This window comes from Homo sapiens, chromosome 3 (assembly GCF_000001405.40).
Source record: "Homo sapiens chromosome 3, GRCh38.p14 Primary Assembly".
In the NCBI taxonomy this organism is placed as follows: Eukaryota; Metazoa; Chordata; class Mammalia; order Primates; family Hominidae; genus Homo; species Homo sapiens.
In genome coordinates this window covers 156,744,336-156,764,432 of record NC_000003.12, presented here as the reverse complement: position 1 = coordinate 156,764,432, position 20,097 = coordinate 156,744,336, and the positions used below count along the sequence as shown (strand labels likewise).

Below are 20,097 nucleotides of genomic sequence, written 5' to 3'. Positions count from 1 at the left end.
AGACTCCGTCTCAAAACAAAACAAAACAAAACAAAACAAAAAAAAGAATCTTTGAAGTTGATGGTGCAATGGAGCGTAACTTTCTGTTCAAAGAGCAATATCTTCCAAATCAAATTGAGTAAGCCACATGTCAAGCACACTTTTCCCTTGTTGCTAAATTGAAATCCATTTCTTCTCCCCACCAAATCTGGGAGGAGCCACATAGTGGATCTTCCCCAAAATACCAAATAGAGTTACATCTCCTATGGCAGTTTAATGACTGAGCATTAAGAGCCAGAGTCTAAACTGAGTCCAGCATCTCACAAAATCTGCTCTAGTGCCTGCCTAGAGAACACAGCAGGGGATTTTCTGTCTTAAGTAGCTAGGCACGCCATGCATCTGAAATGAGAAGCATGCCCTAAAATGTTCACAGCATATTGCAGTTGAATGTTTTCTATCTTCTTCAGAAGATAAGCTGGAGTAGTTTTGTTTTGTTTTCTCCGATTAAAAAAAAAAAAGTACAACAAAACATGATGGGGAGGGGAGACAAGTCAAACAAACAATTCCACATGTTTCTTGTGCATGAGCCACTTTCAGACAGGGCAATATGTGTGCAAGGCTTTACTCTGCCATCTCACAATGCAAGAAGATGACTCTGTAAAAGTCCCTGGAGTGAGGTGATAAGGATGAGGCAAAGACGGAGAATAAAACCTGAAACAAAGTCGTAATTTGGGGTCAGAAAGTGTGCCCACACCAGTCCAGAAAAGCAGAGAATTCTTGCCCTCTTTTTTTTATCCCCAAAGTTCTATTTCTTTATGAAGTCATTAAGAACCACAACCTATCCAAAATGAAGAACAGAAAATCCAGTCTCAGCATTTATTTTTAAATAACACATCTAGTCATATTATGGGGAGTCATAAATACATATAAATTAAAAATCCAGGCATTTAAAAACATGTGTGTAGCCTTCTAAAATCCAGGGAAACATTGAGAGCTATTTGTTTTTGAATATGAGTATTATTTGGGTGGCAATCTTTGAAGGTTTTCTTTTACTGGTAAAAGACAGTGATATATCTTGCCCCGATGAAGGCAAACCCAAGACAGCCTTGTAAGGTAGAGTCAGGGAGACTTATTAGCCAAGACTTTTCAGAAGCCAATTCATTTTAATAAATGATTTTTATCAAATGTCTTCTGAAGAAACTGTGATGTCCACCCTGAAATTTTCCTTTGCAGGCACCTATTGCAAAGAGTGCATCTGATTCTAGATAATAGTTTCTGATTTGAGTGAAGGCTACTGTCCTTTTGCATTTGCTTTCCTATTGATTTCCACAGCTATGTTTGTCCTTCTATGAGTATGAGAGCCATAGCCTGATGTGACCCCTGGTAGTGAGTGTACATCTGCATATAAGTGGTATAGAGCTTCCTGGCTCTGAAACATGTGTAAGCACACAGAGCTTTCTTTACTTTTTAATCTCACGATCAGTGGATTTATTGGGATGGTGCTGACATAAAAAATGAAATGAAACATCTGTGTCTAACAGCTGCACAAAATTTGGATTCGTGTCAACTTCTCTGACATCACACACTCTGCATGTGAGTTCCATGAGTAGTCTCCGTATGGTGCTAATACAATAACATGCCTACAAAGTCCCTGTGGTTTATGGTGTGATGAACTCCAGAGCTGAGGAAACAAAGCCAGCAAGCCTACACCATTTGCTGAATGGAGCTGGCTTTGGGTAATATCTTGTTCTCATTGAACTACTCAGTTTCACCAGGGATAAGAAGCCGGACTGGGCATGGTACCAACAATAAGCTTTCTGTTGGGGATGTTGGTCACCACTCCTCTAAAGTGGTAGGAGAGAAGTCTCACAATTATTTTTGCCTTACTCCATAGAAAAATAGATGTGGGAGTCCAAATGGGTGATGGATGGGTAAGTGAAGCAAGTTTACCCCTCCTAGGCAGTCAGGAAAAGACAGGTAAAAAGAGAGACAGAAAACATACGTAATGTCTCAATGCAAATCCTGGAAAGATACAGCAATCCTTTGCTGGGAGGCTGGAGTCATGCCCAGGGTACATGGTAGCATTGATCAGATCAGTGACACACCACACTGACCTACAGCTATAAACAAAAGCCACACATGTTCTCTTTCTTCTGCTAAAGACAGGGGCTATAGGAATTTGGCAAATAGTTGTGTTCTCTGACAGACTACACATGTAACCTAGAAAAAAAAATCTGTTCTTATTTATTTTTTTTAAAAAGACTCAAAGCCACTTGGTTTTCTATTGGCCAGTTAACCACATAGAGGAAAACTTTTGAAAAATATCTAGCAGCAGCTCAGCTTTCCCTATTTGCTCAGCATAGCTGGATTGCTTCCCTCACATCAGTTGCTAGGATCAGAAAGTATACACTGCAAGTGTAGCATTATAAACAAATTCATGTGATAGATTTTTCAGGTCCAATGAACTTATAAAATGCAATACTCATTTGCACGAGAGAATTACTAAGTGGATACATCAAGTCGGGGCTCCTTCATATTTTAAAGCGGCATCTATTCGCTATGTGTAATAGTGCATCCTAGCTCTGTTGGGCAGTATAAATACACAAGCAGAAAGAGATCTATCAGAGCTGAATTTCAAGAGTTGTGAATGTGGAGACAGAGAATCTTGGGCACAGGTGTGATTTCCATGGTCTGAGGAAGAGCAATATGAAAAGAAGGGAGAAAAAAGAAAGTAAGGATAGGAGAAAAATCAGAAAAGTGATACAATTCTCAAAGGCCTATCAAGCATTTTTATAAACAAAACATCCAATATTACCTAGCTAATTTTTTTCTCCAATGGAACAGCTTTAATTTTCTTAAAAGAAATTGTTAGAAAGACAAAACTACATTAATAGAAAAATTACTTCATAAACAATTTTACTAAAATTTATTCACTCTATAAAAATGAGAAACTCCTGTGATTTTAATGGACACTTAAGCAAAATATAAGTTAAGAGATAAGCTAAATAATGGAATCATCATAGCGTGCATTTTAAAGCCAGTTTAAAAATTCTCCTTTATTGTGACCATCATGCTGTTCCTCCCCTCTGTCATCATGGCCAATGCAGAGATGATTGTCAAAGAAAAGCAAATGGGTTTGTGAGGAATTCTAATCTTCTGATCTCCTGGGGCCCACTGTGGTGGCTTAGATCCACCCCACTGCTGCTGAGATCAGAGTCTATTTTGGAGCTCTAGGCAGGTTCTAGAGCCTTCTCTAATTACCCCAACTGGAATTAAACAAACTTTACAGCGTTAATGAACTGTGTGGCCACATCTGCCTCTGCCAGACACGTTACAGCCCTGCTGCATGCTGTTAGGCTACCACACACTAATTATCCTTTGAGTTTTCTGCACATTCTTTTCCAAACAAGGCAGCCCTGCCAACTTGTCAACAGGGCATTTACTCTAAAAATGAAGTTACTTTATTTTTTGCCTGAGAATGCCCACAGTCACTTTCTCACAGACAGGAATGGAAGCAGGATTGTATCTTTCTTTTTTTTTCTGCCTCTTTAAATTAAGGAAGAGGGGGAAAAAAACCTCTGTAAGCTAATATATACCTTCTCTGGTGGTTGTAGTGCTGCAAGTTTTTCTGATTTAGACCAGAGAAGAAGAAATGTCACCATTCTCAGCTGGTAGGGAAAAAAAAAAAAAAAACATGTAGGTGGATGGTGTGAAATTTAAGCAGACTTGGGAAAGAACTAATCCACATGTGGAGTTCTCCACTGGAGATGTGTCTTGACAGCTCTCTGGTAATATCCTGTTTTGGTTTGCCCACTTCATGTTAATGCATGAGGCATCATGTTATAGCTGAAACAGCAAGGGTTTTGAGGTCAAGTGTCCCAGCCCTGACACTTTCAGTTAGGCCAGTCACTTACTTCTCTGAGCTTCAGTTTCTTCATCTGACAATTGGAGATAAAGACACCTAACTCAATGAGTTGCTGTGAGAAGTTAAATAACAATAAATGTAGAAGTGCTTTATATCACTGCTTGCCACTTGCTATAGCTGTGTTACCTTGTGCAAATTACTTAATCTCTGTGCCCTGGTTTCTTCATCTGTAAAATGAGGGTAATAGTACTATCCTTGCCCCTCTGCGTTGTGCTAAGGATTGAATAAATTAAGATATGTAAAGTGCTTAGGATAATGTTTAGCACTAAATGTTTTCTGTGATTTCTATTTATCAGATGCTATACATGTTATTTTTCCAGATGTTCTTAACTTCATACTAACTTAAATAGAGCAAAACCTATATTTATAACTCAACTATTACTGAGTATTTTATCCAAAGCACTAAGATAGGTTCTGTATACAAATATAAATTAGGTGGATGATGATCTATTTTGCAAAAGAAAATAACAAGGCACTGCTTCAATTCAACAATTCACTTTGACAGCACCCACTATTGTTTTCAACACAATGCAGAATATGAAGCATGAAACATATCCTCCAGGAATGTTTTAAATATATTTTTTATTCTAATATGAACGCATGGTCATGATAGAAAATTTTAGAAAATATTTGATAAGCAATAATAATAATAATGATGCTATAAAACTGAAATCACTACTATTGCACTCTATGCTACCACCAAGAGATACCTATGTCTTACATTTTGGTTTAAGCTATTTTAAATCAAATTTTAATTTTTTTAATTAGTTGTGTGTTCATGTGTGTATAAGTGTGTAGGTGCATAAAATTGGAATCTAATGGCTTTTTAAAATGTAATAGATCATAAACATTTTTCCACATCACTAAGTATTCTCTCCCTTATTATATTTTAATTTTTATTTAGAAATAGTTTTGAAGTTAAAGAAGAGTCATAAAAAGTAGTACAGAGATACTTGGAGACTATGCACAATTCTGTTTCTACTTAAACATTCACCCATTCTTTTTAGCATCCTTGGAGGATTTAACCTGCAGCAATGGTTACTATGGGGTTTAATGGTACTTTTGTATTTTCCCCAGGCCTTCTATATTTATAATAACTGAGATTCTTTTCTAAAGAAGAGCTTTCCTTTTCTCCCACTTATGTATTTATTTAATCATTTATTCATTTATTTGTGGGATCATGGATATTTAATTTATTCTTTTAGTTATAAACTAACATTGTACTCATTCTTTTAGTTACAAACTAACATTGTACTCTTATTATTTATTTTGTTGCTCAAATTCTTTCATGGGAGCTTTTTCAGATTGGTTCCTGCACATTTTTTATGTTTTTTTCTTTTTATTTTTTTTTTAAATTTCCTTACATTGAAAAACACCACAAGATATCCAGACTCATATTTATTTCATTGCCCCAGCCCTAGAATCAGATAGTTCTCCAGTGATTCCTGGTTCCTATTGTTGGAGGACAGTATTTAGAAACCAGTATCATTAGGAGTTAGGTGCTCTCCTTTTAACTGAGATATCATTGTTTCTAACTCCTTTCAGTGGATACAGCTTGGAGATATATGCAGATATATATCTCTGCGTGTGTGTGTATGTGTATATATACACAATCATACACATAGATATATATACACATATATACATATATATACATACATATATACATATATAAACACATATTGTATACACACTAACTCATACACATAGATCTATCTATATATCTATTTCTGTAAATTTTCTGTAAATATTTATATGTATATGTATGTTTTAATTTTTAAAATTAAAATTTAATATATACAACAGATAATACACCATTGCCAAGTGGCATTGATCTAAGGAATGTAAGACTGGTTCAACTTTTAAAAAAATCAATCATTGTAAGCTATTAACAGATTACAAAAGAAAATAGATACAGAAAATGCATCTGACAAAATTCCACTTGTACTCATGATATAAACTTTCAGCAAAGTAGAAATAAAAGAAAACTCGCGGCTGGGCGTGGTGGCTCATGCCTGTAATCCCAGCACTTTGGGAGGCCGAGGCAGGCGGATCACCTAAAGTCAGGAGTTCAAGACCAGCCTGGCCAACATGGTGAAACCCCATCTCTACTAAAAATACAAAAAAAATTAGTTGGGCGTGGTGGCACACACCTGTAATCCCAGCTAAGTAGGAGAATCGCTTGAACCTGGGAGGTGGAGGTTGCAGTGAGCCAAGATCTTTCCATTGTACTCCAGCCTGGGCAACAAGAGCAAAACTCCATCTAAAAAAAGAAAGAGAGAAAGAGAGAGAGAGAGAGAAAGAAAGGGAAAAGAAAAGAAAGAAAGATTGCTTAAATTAATAAAAAATATCTACAAAAAAATCTACGTCTAACATCACAACATCACACTTAATGGTAAAAGACTGAAGACCTTTTCCTGGAGATGGAGAACAAAGCAAAGGTATCTTCTTTCACAATTTGCATTTAATATCACCCTGGGAATACTAGCCATTATAATAAGACAAGACATAGAAATAAAGGGGATGTCAGCTCTATTCGCAGATAACATAACTATGTAGATTTCCTATATAGATATTTCTAAACAACTTACACACAACTTCCTGGAACTAACTAATGAATTTAATAAAGTCTCAGGATATGAAGTCAACGCATACAAATCAATGGTATTTCTATATAATAGCAGGAAAATTGGGATTCAAAATTAAAATAACAATACCATTTATAATAGCACAAAAAAATCACATAAGTATAAAACTGAAACAAATTATGTGGGATCTGTATGTTGAAAAGTACAAAACACTGAAGAAAAAATCTGAGAAGATCCAAATAAGTGGAGAAATATACCATGTTCATAGATGAGAAGATTCAGTATTGTTAAGATAGATGTTAATTCTGCCCAATTTGTTATACTGATTCAGTGAAATTTCAATCAAAATTCCAGCAGCCTTTTATGTAGATGTTGACTGCTGGTTTAAAAATTTATACAGAAAGGCAAAGGAACTAGACTTGCCAAAAATTTTTGAAAACAAATAATGTTGAAGGGCTCCCTAATTTAAAGTGTTATTGTAATGCTACAGTAACGAAGACTGTGGTAATGTAGAAACAACAGATACATATATCAATGGAACAGAGAAGAGAAACCAGAAATAAACCCACATAAATACAGTCAACTGATTTTTGACAATGATACAAATGCAAGTCAATAGAGAGAAGAAAGTCTCTTCAAATAAATGGCCTGGGAACAACTGAATGTCCACATTTTAGTCTATCTGGGCTATCATAACAAAATATCATAGACTGGGTGGCTCATAAACAATAGAAATTTATTGTTCACAGTTCTGGAAGCTGGAAATTCCAAGATCAAGGTGTGGGAAAATGTACTGTCTAGGGAATGCCGGCTTTGTAGTCCATAGACAACCATTATTTCGCTGTGTCTTCACATGGCAGAAAGGCCAATGAACTCTCTGGGTTCCCTTTTATAAGGACCTTCATTAACTAACCACCTGTCATAGCCTTACCCCCTAATACCATCACCTTGAGGGTTAGGATTTCAACTTGTAAATTTTGGGAGAAACACAAACATTTAAACCATAGCAGTCCATATACTAAAAAGACAAAAAAGAACCCCAGTCTATATCTCACATCTCATATAAAATTAACTCAAAATGGATCATAGACCTAAACATAAAGCATAAAACCATAAAACTTTTTTGAGAAAAAAACAGGAGAAAGGCAGGCCGGGCGCAGTGGTTCACACCTGTAATCCTAGCACTTTGGGAGGCCAACGTGGGCGGATCACGAGGTTGGGAGTTCAAGACCAGCCTGGCCAATGTGTGTATGACCTTGGGTTAGGCCACTGAACAAAGTTCAGCTTTGTAGTTCAGGAGACATTTGACAATGTCTGCAATATTTTTTATTGTTATAATTGTGGCCTGTGTATGTGTGTTTGCACATGCATGCACACATGCACACTACAGGCATTGATGGGTAGAGGCCGGGAATACTGCTAAACATCCAACAAGGCACAGGATAGGTCCCCATAACAAATAATTATCTGGTCCAAAATGTCAATTTTGCATCTGTTGAGAAATCCTGAGTTAGGAAAACAGGTTTTAGATATGACACCTAAAGTGTGATTTATGAAAGAAAAAAATTGATGAACTGTATTAAATTTTTAAAAAAACTTTTGTTCTGCAAAAACTTTGGATCTTTAAGAGAATAAAAAAGACAAGCCACAAACTGAGAGAAAATATTTTAAAATCACATCTGTCAAAGGACTTATATCCAAAGTATATAAAGAACTCATAAACTCAACAACCAGAAAACAAAAAACCCAATTTTTAAAAACAAAAAATTGAAACAGAGTTTTTACTAAAGAACATATTTAGGCCAGGCACGGTGGCTCACGCCTGTAATCTGAGCACTTTGGGAGGCTGAGGTGGGCAGATCACAAGGTCAGGAGATCGAGACCATCCTGGCTAACACGGTGAAACCCCCATCTCTACTAAAAATACGAAAAATTAGCCAGGCATGGTGGCACGCGCCTGTCGTCCCAGCTACTTGGGAGGCTGAGGCAGGAGAATTGCTTGAACCTGGGAGGTGGAGGTTGCAGTGAACTGAGATCACGCCACTGCACTCCAGCCTGGGCAACAGAGCAAGACTCCATCCCCCCTCCCACCCCCAAAAAAGAACATATTTAGATGTAAAATAAGCATAATAAAAAAATGCTCTTTAGTAATCATTAGGGAAATACAAATTAGAACCACACCAAAAAACCCACAACATGCCTATTTGAATAGCTATAATTTTAAAACCTGGCAATATGAAGTGCTGGTGAGAATTTTGAGCAGTTGGAATTCATATACATTGCTGGTAGGAATGCAAAATGGCACAGCCACTTTGGGAAACAGTTTGGCAGTTTCTTATAAAGTTAAACATATACCTACCATACGACCCAGCAATCTCATGCCTAGCTATATATCCAAAACAATAGAAAAGATGTGCAAACTATAGGAGAGGATTCTCTCTACCCTTCAAATTCTTAGTTAGAACAGACTCCTATAACGAAAGGTAGATTAACAAGAGGAAAACAAACAAATTTAACAGCATGTATACCTTATGTATACATGGGAGATACCCAGAGAAATAAGTAAATCCCAAAGGTGTGGCTTTGAATTCAGGCTTAAATACAATTGTCTACTGAAACAAAGAGGGAAGGATGTGAGGAAGGAAAAACATAAGGAGATGCCCAGGAAGGCAGGATAACAAGGGTAAGATTTCTTACACAGATTTAAGTCCGGTGCCTTGTCCATTGATAAGAGTCCCTAGTGATGTAATGTCATCCTTCTCTTCATAGTACATAGGGAGACACCCTTATAAATAGAGATTTCCTTTATAGACATAAATGTCCTTTATAAAAGGGTAACTTCTGCTCTGTTTTCAGATCTTCTTCTGCATCTACAGTTTCTCAAAATGATTAGCACAAAACAATCCATATGCCAAAGAAGCATAATTTGAGGTGGCATATTCTGGTCTCCTACAATACAAACACCTATAGGTAAATATTTGTAGCTAATTTAAAAATTGGAAACAACCTAGATGTACTACAAATTGTGGTACATACATGTAATGGAATGCCACCAGCAATAAACCCGAATGAACTATTGATTCACAAAGCAACATAGATAAATCTTACCTGCATTTTGAGAGGCTGGACCCAGAATTGTTTGATTCTATTCATATGGCACTCTGGAAAAAGCAAAACTATAGGGAGGAAAACAGATGAGTAGGTAGCGGATCAGGGGTTGGGGGGTGGGTTTTCTATGAAGGAGTAGCACAAGGAAACTTTGGGGTCATGGAATTATTATGTATAGAATTATAGTGGTCCATAGTACAGTTCTGTGCATTTGCCAACACTGATAGAACTGTACCACAAGAAGTGAATTTTATTACATGTAAATTTTTTTAAAAACTCAACCAGGATAAAGAAAATGTGGCACATATACACCATGCAATACTATGCAGCCATAAAAAAGAATGAGGTCATGTCCTTTGCAGGGACATGGACGAAGCTGGAAGACATCAATCTCAGCAAACTAACACAGGAACAGAAAACCAAACACTGCCATGTTCTTACTCATAAGTGGGAGTTGAACAATGAGAACACATGGACACAGGGAGGGGAACATCACACACCGGGGCCTGTTGGGGGCCTGTCTCCCTCCCTTGTTGGGCAAGGGGAGGGAGGGCTTAAAACTAAATGACGGATTGACAGGTGCAGCAAACCACCATGGTACGTGTATACCTGTGTAAGAAACCTGCACTTTCTGCACATGTATCCCAGAACTTAAAGTAAAATTAAAACAACAACAAAACCTCAACCAGGATGTAAGAGAAAAGATGGAATGCAGATTGTGATAAATGCATTTTACTATGCTACAAATTAATCATATAACTTCTCTGAAAGGGATGGGGAAGAAATAAGCTGACCTGAGTAAGGGTCAGCTAAGTGAGGGTTTCCAGAAAACCCTTCAGCTCCCCTAAGAAACTTTGGAAAACAGCACCAGACCTGCCCCAGTGAAACCTGGTGCCATGCAAGCCCCCATGGTCCCAGTCTCCAGGCTGGAAATTGTGGACAAAACTTTTAAGATGCTCCAACACCCAGTCTATTCTGTGTCCTCAGGCATCAGGCTGACCCCAGTGCCTTCAGATTTTGAGCCTGTTTGTTCTGACACTTTAGCTCTCTGATAAGTTCAAAGAAAGTTCTGAATTTGAAGTTAACTCAGTTACTTTCATTGTAAGTGTAAGAGTGATGTCTCTTCTATCTCTCTATAGAGTGGTAAGTCCTTTTTTTCCATTTTTAATGGCTAAACTGTATTTCATTAAATGAATATGTAATTTACTTTATTTAACCAATCCCAATCACTTATTATTGTGCCTTTAGGGAATTTTCCACTTTTTGCTATTATAAACCAAGTTAATTGACCCTTGTAAGCATCTTTGAGTTGCTATAAAGGGATACCTGAGGTTGGGTAATTTATAAAGAAAAAAGTTTATTTGGCTTTTGGTTCTGCAGGCTGTACAAGAATCATGGTGCCAGCATCTGCTTCTGTTGAGGACTTCAGGTTGCTTCTACTCATGGTGGAAGGCAAAGGGGAACTGCTGTATGCAGAGCTCACATGGCAAGAGAGCCCCCATGAGGGACCTGCCCCCATGAGGGACCTACCCCCATGACCCAAACACCTCCCACCAGGCCTCACCTCCAATGCTGGGGCTCAAATTTCAACATGAGGTTTGGAGGGGTCAAATATTCAAACCACAGCAACGGGAGAAGACATTTCCTCATGAAGAAGCAATATAAATTGAAATACAACCTATAGAATTTATATAGACATATGCAATCTGCAGAAGCACATGTTGGGACTGAAAAAGGACTGCACTAATGAATTCTGTCACAGATGTGTTTCTTGTTCTCATTTTAGAATAAATGATATCCATATCAGATTATCTGGGTGATTAGCACAATGGCTTTGATTTAAAAATAGGAAGGCTACATGTTGACTGTTCCCTGATGCTGACTGCTATAGCCTATGTGCTCTATCCAACCCAGAAAGGGAGCCTCTCCTTCACCCAAACAGGCAGCTGTATCAGTGTTTGGGTGAAAAGGAAGATGGATTTCAGCTGCCCTAAAAAACAAAAGTTGAAGATGGCTTCTTCCCCTTCTCTCCCTCCTCCTCCTCCTCCTTCTTTTTCTTCTTCTTCCTCTTCCTCCTCCTCCTCCTCTACCCACCTCCGCTCCACTCCTCCTCCCCCACCTCCTCCTCTTCCTCCTCCTTCTGGAGGAGAGTCTGTCTTGAATCAAAAATGGGTTGGCCGGGCCAGTGGCTCACGCCTGTAATCCCAGCACTTTGGGAGGCCGAGGCAGGTGGAACACTTGAGGTCAGGAGTTCGAGACCAGCCTGGCCAACATGGTGAAACACTGTCTCTACTAAAAATACAAAAATTAGCCAGGCATGGTGGCAGGCGCCTGTAATCCCAACTACTCGGGAGGCTGAGGTGGGAGAATGGCTTGAATTCAGGAGGCAGAGGTTGCAGTGAGCCAAGATCCCACCACCACACTCCAGCCTGGGCAACACAGCAAGACTCCGTCAAAAAAAAAAAAGAGTTAACTGAATTACAACAGGAAACGTCTCCAGTACAGCCCAACTTGCTCCAGGTCCCAACAGGTGAAGCGAGCATCTCATCCCTGATTCCTTCAACTCTGGATTTAACAGGTAGCTACCCTAAGGTGCCCTGGCAAGGTGATCTGGACCTTGGGATTTCTGCTTTCAGGATTGCCTAAAGAAGAATTAACAGTTGCCAAAGGAAAAGCAGTAATCAGGAACCCTGTCTCTAAATGTAGCTAATTTCTATTTAATTGGCGAGTAACTACATTTAAAATAAACACGAGTTGGTAATCAAAAACAGGAGGTTAAAGGATAGGCAATTGTAGAAGCCAGAGAGAATTACTAGGGCAAAACAAAGCTGAGGGAAAGTGGAGAGACATGCTGCTTCAGAGAAAACATGGTCAGGAGAAGAGGAACTGTCGCTGCTGTGGGCCTCACAGATCTCATAAAGATTTATATCAGGTTTTATTTGTGTTTGTTAGTCATCAACGAAACTGATTTTAATCACCAACTGGTCTTTAATTATGAAGCATTCATTCCTTTATTACATAAAAATTAAAAACACATGTAAGCGGCACGTTTAAAACTATCAAACGGGTTGAGTTTGGCACATCCTTGTGCAACCCCAGAGAAAGAGGCAGAGATTGGACAGGTTTCTAGAAAACCCTTCAGCTCCCCAGGCATTTGCTGAACCCCTGGCTGCTGGCAGTATGGGCTTTCAGGCAACCGCGGCGACGGCTCCCCTCCAGGGGAAGAATGTGGAATCCGCAGAGCTGGGTTGAGGCACATCCGCTGCCAAACTGTCTCCAGCATTTGTAATCCCTGCTTTTCGGCACCACCCAAGATGTACTAATGCGCCTTGTGAAGACTCACTCCCGTGGCCTCTGGGGTTCGGCATTGAAAGAGAGGGTGGGAGAGGAAAGGAAAGAGAAGGGGAAAGGGTAAGAATGGCTTGAGTGAGATCCCTAAGCTGTGAGCAAGTTCTTCAAATTGAGTTTTCCTTTGAGGCAGACATTTTCCAGTTAAACTTTAAACTCAAAAGCTTGTCCTATTTATCTCCAAAATGCAGGCTATGTGTCTCCCTCCTAATTAGCATGAAATTATTTCTTGTTTTTCCTTCATTAGAAATTAGGATTTATTTTTTTAAAGATAAAATTTGTATTCCTGCTTAATTTTTAGACTCATTTGGAAGCAGTGCATTTTTATCAGAGGGACTGAAAAGCCTTTCGAGAATCAGTCAAGAAAAAGGAATGCGCATGAGAGTCATGGTGAGTAGCACTTCTCATCAAACTAGCTGCCCAGGGGTGTTAAAGTGCTTTCTAAAAAGGGAACTAACAGGGCTGCTCACCATTTACTGTTTTCTAAGAGCCTAGCTAAATTAATCATAGCACACACTAGCCCCGTAAGGTAAAATGATTCCTGGTTGTTTTGAAAGCAATCAGCGATCCACAAAGAGGGAGGTAATGTCTCCCAGAACCAAGATTAAAACTCCGACGTTGAGGGAATCTCCACTCCCTTCCTGTCATCAAAGGCCAGCTTGTTTGTATCCAAGCAGGGTCCTGGGTGAGCCAAGCTCTGTTAAAGTGGCCACAGGAATGAGAGGCCACCACACAAGTGAGGATGCTGGGGACAGTCCATCTTCTGGGGCTGTGTGAATGCAAGCTTAGTGGTGGGGGCTGTCACATTTTAAGTGGACAGGTGTGAGTCCCAGGCCTCCTGCTCGGAGACTCAAACCCAGCTGAGGCTTGCCCAGGAGGGTCTGGCTTCATCCTGGGCCACCCACACACTGGCAGGCCTGTGCACATGGAGGCCAGTTCCCTTCCTGCATTAGCCATGCATGGATTCCTACTCACATCTGTACAGCCAGAGCAAAAGCCTGTAATTTCCATAGAATCCAGTTCTTTGAGTCAGAACTCCAGATAAGTGTTTGTTTTATTTTTCTTTACAGGTCACATCATGTGATTGTAGGGAAAGCCTAGGCTATCATGGAGGGAAGAGATTGGATAAATTATTTGAAAAGCAAGCCTGTGAATTGCTGTGGAGGAACAATAGCCTGTCTCTTATCTGGAGCCTTTCCAAGGAAAAGCAAAGGGGACCCTAGAAGGCTTCCTGGGAGACAGTTTAATTCTGAAAACAAAGCAGTACTTCACCTCTTGTGTGTTGGGTAGAGCTGTAAAACAGAACACAGTCAAAATAGTCATTAGGGCCACATCAATGTCTGCCCAAAGTCAGGCGAGCATTCCCAGGAAGGTGGGGGGCTGTGGCAGTTGCACACATCAACCTCCTTTCTCCATTGTCACACAGCAGAAGAGCGTGTTCCATTCTACTAAAGTTGGGGCGGGGGGAGTTGAATAATTTATTGACTGAAAACTGGGGGCCTGAGTTAGATGGTAAAAAAGTTTAGAGTGCTGTTTTTTGTTTTTTAAGTTATGTTTGTTTTATATATTGAAGTGCTTAAAATGTATTTTAAAAATTCAAAACATCCCAGAAATTCAGCAACTTGAGGAGACAATAGTGACGAACATTTTATGGCAACATTTGGACACTTTAAAGATTATTTCAGGAACTTTAATGCTGATAAATGAGAGAAGGGACAACTTTTCCTAACTATAACATTTCGGCACCTGAGTACAGGGATCAAAACAAGAGCAAGCATTTCAAATTCATATTGTGAAGCACCTACAAAAAGATTATTCTGTTAGCCTTCATAATGTGGAGAGTTCATCTTTTCATCTTATCAAATAAAAATATACCCAAATTCTTGAACAGGCATTCAGTTAGGAAAAGAGGGTGGGGTGATGAAATGTGTTCTCATTCAGCAAACACTTTGCAGATATTTCTAGTCAAAGATCCCTGTGGTCTAGGCTAGTGAGAGAAAAACGTGCCCTCTGCCCAGTGACAGCGGCTGCACGGGGATCAGCTTTCACCAATGCAGGCAGGGGAACAAAGGGCAGGCTTCATCTGCCTGCATCCCACAGGCCCTTGCGCAGGGGAGTTCCATTTCAGTGCCCATCACATGACCTCTCAGGCCAAAACGGTTTTTAATAATTCTGATTTTGAATATCAAATGGAAGTGAAAAGTACATTTAGGAAGGAAGGGCTCTATCCTTATTGAAGAACATGCTCTATGCAAACAGGTTGGACAGGCACTAGCTCTTGTAGAGCTATGGTTCTCAGCTTTGGCAACACACTGGATCACCTCCTCTAAAAGGTACTGATGCCTGCTTTCCTCCCTCTTCTGCCCCTAAAGAAAGTAGAATTTAATTTTAAGCTCTAGGGTGTGGCCTGGGCATCAGGACTTTTTTTTTTTTTTTGACAGAGTCTCACTGTGTCACCTAGGCTAGAGTGCAGTGTGCAGTCTTGGCTCACTGCAGCCTCAATCTCCCAGATTCAAGAGATCCTCCTGCCTCAGCCCCCTAAGTAACTAGGATTACAGGCACGCACCACCACACCAGGCTAATTTTTGTATTTTTTGTGGAGACGGTCTTTCACTGTGTTGCCCAAGCTGGTCTTGAACTCCTGAGCTCAGGTGATCCACCTGCCTCAGCCTCCCAAAGTGCTGGGATTACAGGCATAAGCCACAGCCCCTGGCCGGCATCAGGATTTTTAAAAGCTCCCAAGTGCAGTCAAGGTTGAGAACAGCTGCTATAGTGTGACTTAATACAGCATTCAAAGCCTCTCATAATCTAGCCTCAGCCTAATTTTTCCTTCCAGCACCCCATCTCAGCCTGTACATAAGCCACAGAGACATTCTCACTGTTCTCTGAATGTACTTGGCTCATTCATATTTCCAGGCTTTCTTGCACACACATTGTCTGACTCTGGGCACCTAAGGAAAGCTCAGCTCCAATGTCCTCTCCTCTTCCGTGAAACCTTTCCTGTCAAGCCCACCTTCACTACTAAGTCACTCCTTGCTCCTAGATCAGATGGAAGAATGCTTTGGCATATCTCTACTGGAGCCCTTCTCACTTTACATTAAAGATAACTGTATATAGGTTAGCCCACTCCTCCTCCCTAATAGCATGTGGACCCTTTGTAGTTTCAGCAGTAAGCACAGGGCTTGGTTTCTATGAATACTTATTGAGTGAATGGATGAATGAATGCCAATCTTGTACATTGTTGATGTTCACCACATTGAACCCAGTTCTCAAACCAGGATCACTTGGGAGATTCTGAGTCAATAATTTGAAGGTCTGTATCATTCCTACTCAAAGTGTGGTCCATAAGCCAGCAGTGGCTATATTATCTGGGAGCTTGTTGCAAATGCAGAATATGTATTTTAACAAGATCCCCAGGCAATTCATATGCACATTACACTTTGAGCTATATTTTTAACAAGCTCCCAGGTGATTCCTTTGTAGCCCGGCTGCTGACCTGCATTTCGTAACCACTGTTCTAGACCTTCATTTGCTGAATGGAGTGGTCCCTGTGTGATTGCCTACAGGTTTCTTCTAGTCTCCCATTTTTCTTCCTAGTTAACAAAGCCCAAATTTTGTTTGGAAGGGTGATCAGCCCTTCACCCATCAGGCCTTTGCCTCAGGGAAGCTTGACCCCACCTTTAGACCCCATGTTGGGCCTGAGTAGTCCAAAGGCATATCCCATTCCCCTGGCCAGGGATTAGTTTAGGGATAGACATGTGACCAAATTCAGCTCAATAAAATGTGAGTCTGCAGGGGCAATCTAGAAAAAGTGTCCTCTTCCCTAAGAGAAAGCCACAGGAGGGTAAAAAAATGTCTCAGAACATTGTCCTGCCTAAACATGATGCCTCGGACATTCTGCTTCTGTCTTGCTACCTGCAGCACAAGGAAATCCAACACTGAGGGGTCACAGCAGAGGGACGGAAAGCACCTGGATCTTACAACATTGTTGAGCTCTTTTGTCTCTTGACTTCTAGTTATGAGATGTAATTTTCTTACTGTTAAAGTCATTTCTGTTCCTTGCAACCAAAAGCATTCATTGATACACTGAATATAGTACAATATTTATTCAATCAATAAATGCCTGGCAAATTACCCAAGTATGAGTAATTGTAGTTTGTCTCACAGCTATTCTTTCAAGTAAAAGTGATGCTCCATGACAAAAACGGCTAGTTTAGCTTGTAACACAAACAACTGCACAAGTGCTTTTCCTTCAGACAAGTATTGTACTTTCATATGTAACAGATGTATGTGCTTTATGCATGTTCCCATTTCATAACACAGAGTATTAGAAACATGTATACTTCAGGGTTGAGATCTCATAAAATGAGTAGTTTTCACAGCTTCATTGAGGACACTCTTAAATGAAACTGGCAGGTTTTTTTTTTTGAGTACTAGGAAATGGGTGGCAGTAAAGAATACAGTAACTATTAATATAGTGTGGTGCTACTGCCTTGAATTGTGCTAAGGCATCGGCAGTTTTCGTCATCATTGCTTTGACATCATCAGTGCAGGTGTCAATACAGTGAAAAAGGTAAATGGCATCTTGGTGTGATTATGGAAATAGATTGATCTAATGGACCGCCTGAAGTAGGCTTGGCCTCCCCAGGGATCTTAGAGAACTGCTATAGTAGGTGATTACTTGGGAAACAAAATCTCTTAGGAGAAGTTATGGATACAAAATGGTTATTGTTGAGGCCTGGAAGAGACTGAATTATGTGCCATATCATGGTTCTGACTCCTTTATTTGGGTCAATGTCACTATTGCCTCAGTGACTGCCAGCACATGGGGCTGGTAACAGAGGAGTCCTAGGAGTATCCAGGTGCTGAGGTGCTTGTGAGGCCTTAGGCTGGAGGGCACAGCAAATGGGCTCACCCAGTGCTACCAGTTACAGACACATTCACAAGACTGTGAATCCACAACTCAGTTCTTTATTTCCCTCTTCAGCCTGTTAGGTAATTTATCATGTACTCAGCTTAGAAACACACTATTTAGTGTAGTCTGATTTCTGTTTATAATTCTTAAAATACTCTTATTAGTGAAGTCTTCTAAGTTCAGCCTTTTCTTGAGCTAAAATTTCTCCGATGCTGAATAACTATTAAATAATGAATGTGTTGTTTCACTCGGAGGGGCAACAAGATTCCCTCAAGCAGCACCTACCCCCACTGCTTGCCAGAAACAGGCATTTTGGCAACACCACAAAGCACCAACTTTCGAGGTCTCACTGAGCCAGTCCTTGTTTCCAGGAAAGAAAACCCATGTTCTTGAGCCAGAACGAATGCTCTAAAGGCTGAGATTCTCTTTTCTCTTGCTAGAGAGGGAAGAATGACAATGGTTTGCTTGGATTCCTATAGTGGGAAAGCCATCTAGAAATTCTAGCCAGGCAGATATCTCTCACATGGAGATACTGTCCCTTGACTCATGAATGCACTGTGGAATTTGCCCTGGTGCCTTCTGAAGGGTTAAAGAAAAGGATCCTATTCCTTACTAGCAGTGATGCTGAGGCCTGAATCAAATTAGGGAAAAGGCCAGTCATGCTGTTGCCTGCTATATTTACTGAGATAATTTCTTAAAGCACAGAAGCAAGACAGACAATCCAAAAAATCGACATGAACTTGTTCTGCAGAGTAAAGATAGTTTCTGTCTTACTGCATTGCTATGAAAAAAAAAAAATTTTAGATCTGAATGTGGCAAGGAAACAAGCTCCCTAGATCGTCAGAGAAATGACTGAGTTTTAGCAAGTTTTTCCTAATTTTTGACCTAAAATGTTCTTTCCTTCAGTGCCTCCCTGGAGTTTTTGTTTTGTTTTATTTTTGTTTTCTAACACAAAAAAACACCTGCATCACACATTCTTACCCTCACTTTTGTGCTCTGTGTTGGAAACACAGGAGTTGTAATGATGTCTTTGGCTCTGGGCCTCTAAATCTTCATAGTGAATTCATCAAACTCTACACCTCAGGACCAGTCCAAAGCTTGGAAGGGAAAGAGGAGGAAGCAGGGGTTATAAACATACGCCAGGCAATTTTTTTCCCCGTATCTAGGTCATTTTACTTTTCTCTGTGTAAAATGCCTGGCCTTGGTGTTTTTGAGTGTGCATGTAAACTCAGACTTGGCAGTGGGGAACATGCAGTCAAACTTCTACAATATTCCTGGTGATTGGCCTTTTATATCCCTATCCTTGCTACTCCTTTTACCTTGACATTGAACATTTGCTCAGTACTTTAGCTCTTATTATTGTGTTGGTAGAACACCTTTTTCCCCTTAAGCACAGTTCTAGTACATTATTTCTGTGTTGTATTAGAAAAAGGGATGGAGCAATAAGTTGGGAGATTTTGCATCCTAGTTCTGCCATTAAATGGCCATAGATACTGGAAAAGTCATGTTCCTGTTCTGGGCTTCATCTGTAAAATGGGGATTGGAGAGAGGGCTAAATTTCCAGTGGTCCATAGATCTGGTGACGTGGTTTAGATATTTGTCTCCTCCAAATCTCGTGTTGCAATGTGATCCCCAGTGCTGAAGGTGGGGCCTAGTGGGAGGTGTTTGGATCATGGGGGCAGATTCCACATGAATGGCTTGGTGTCATGCCAACAGTAACGAGTGAGTTCTTGATCTATGATCTATTAGTTCACGTGAGAGCTGGTTGTTAAAAGAGCCCAGCACCTCTCCCAACTCTCCCTTGCTTTCCTCTCTCGCGTGTGATACACTGGCTCCCCTTTTGCCTTCTGCTATGAATATAAGCTTCCTGAGGCCGTCACCAGAAGCAAATGCTGGCTGTATGTTTCTTATACAGCCTGCAGAACTCTGAGCCCAATAAGCTTCTTTTCTTAATAAATTATCCAGTCTCAGGTATTCCTTTATAGCAATGCAAAATGGACTAACACAACTAACATTTTTAGCAAAGTCTTCTTTCCACCACTTCCTTCCACTGGGCATTTTAAGACAGCAGTGCTGAGATAGGCTTTTGGGAACCAAAACCTAGAGTTGATGGGTTCTAGGTCCTTGTCAAGCCTAATGTTAGTTTTTTTCTCTCTTTCTCCAAATGTCAGGTTTTCTATCACCCCACCACTTCAATAGTTTGCACTTAATTTACCGAAGCTTCTGTGCTTTCT

The 20,097-nt window shown here is 40.1% G+C and overlaps 1 long non-coding RNA gene across 1 annotated transcript in view, besides 1 other annotated feature; it reads left to right on the top strand.

Annotated features, from left to right (window-relative positions):
• LINC00886 (long intergenic non-protein coding RNA 886) overlaps positions 1-17,090 on the top strand; it is a 69,720-nt gene extending 52,630 nt beyond the window's left edge. Inside the window, exons 2-3 of the long non-coding RNA NR_038387.1 lie at positions 13,250-13,338; positions 14,019-17,090. This is a non-coding gene — a long non-coding RNA (long intergenic non-protein coding RNA 886). The remainder of the gene's footprint in view (positions 1-13,249; positions 13,339-14,018) is intronic.
• Positions 12,828-13,581: an enhancer, noted in NCBI's record as "OCT4-NANOG-H3K27ac-H3K4me1 hESC enhancer chr3:156468641-156469394 (GRCh37/hg19 assembly coordinates)". NCBI's record gives its function as "activates a minimal SCP1, AML or CMV promoter by ChIP-STARR-seq in primed H9 embryonic stem cells {active_cell/tissue: H9 hESC(primed)}" and the evidence as "EXISTENCE:reporter gene assay evidence [ECO:0000049][PMID:30033119]".
• Positions 17,091-20,097: the final 3,007 nt, after the last annotated feature.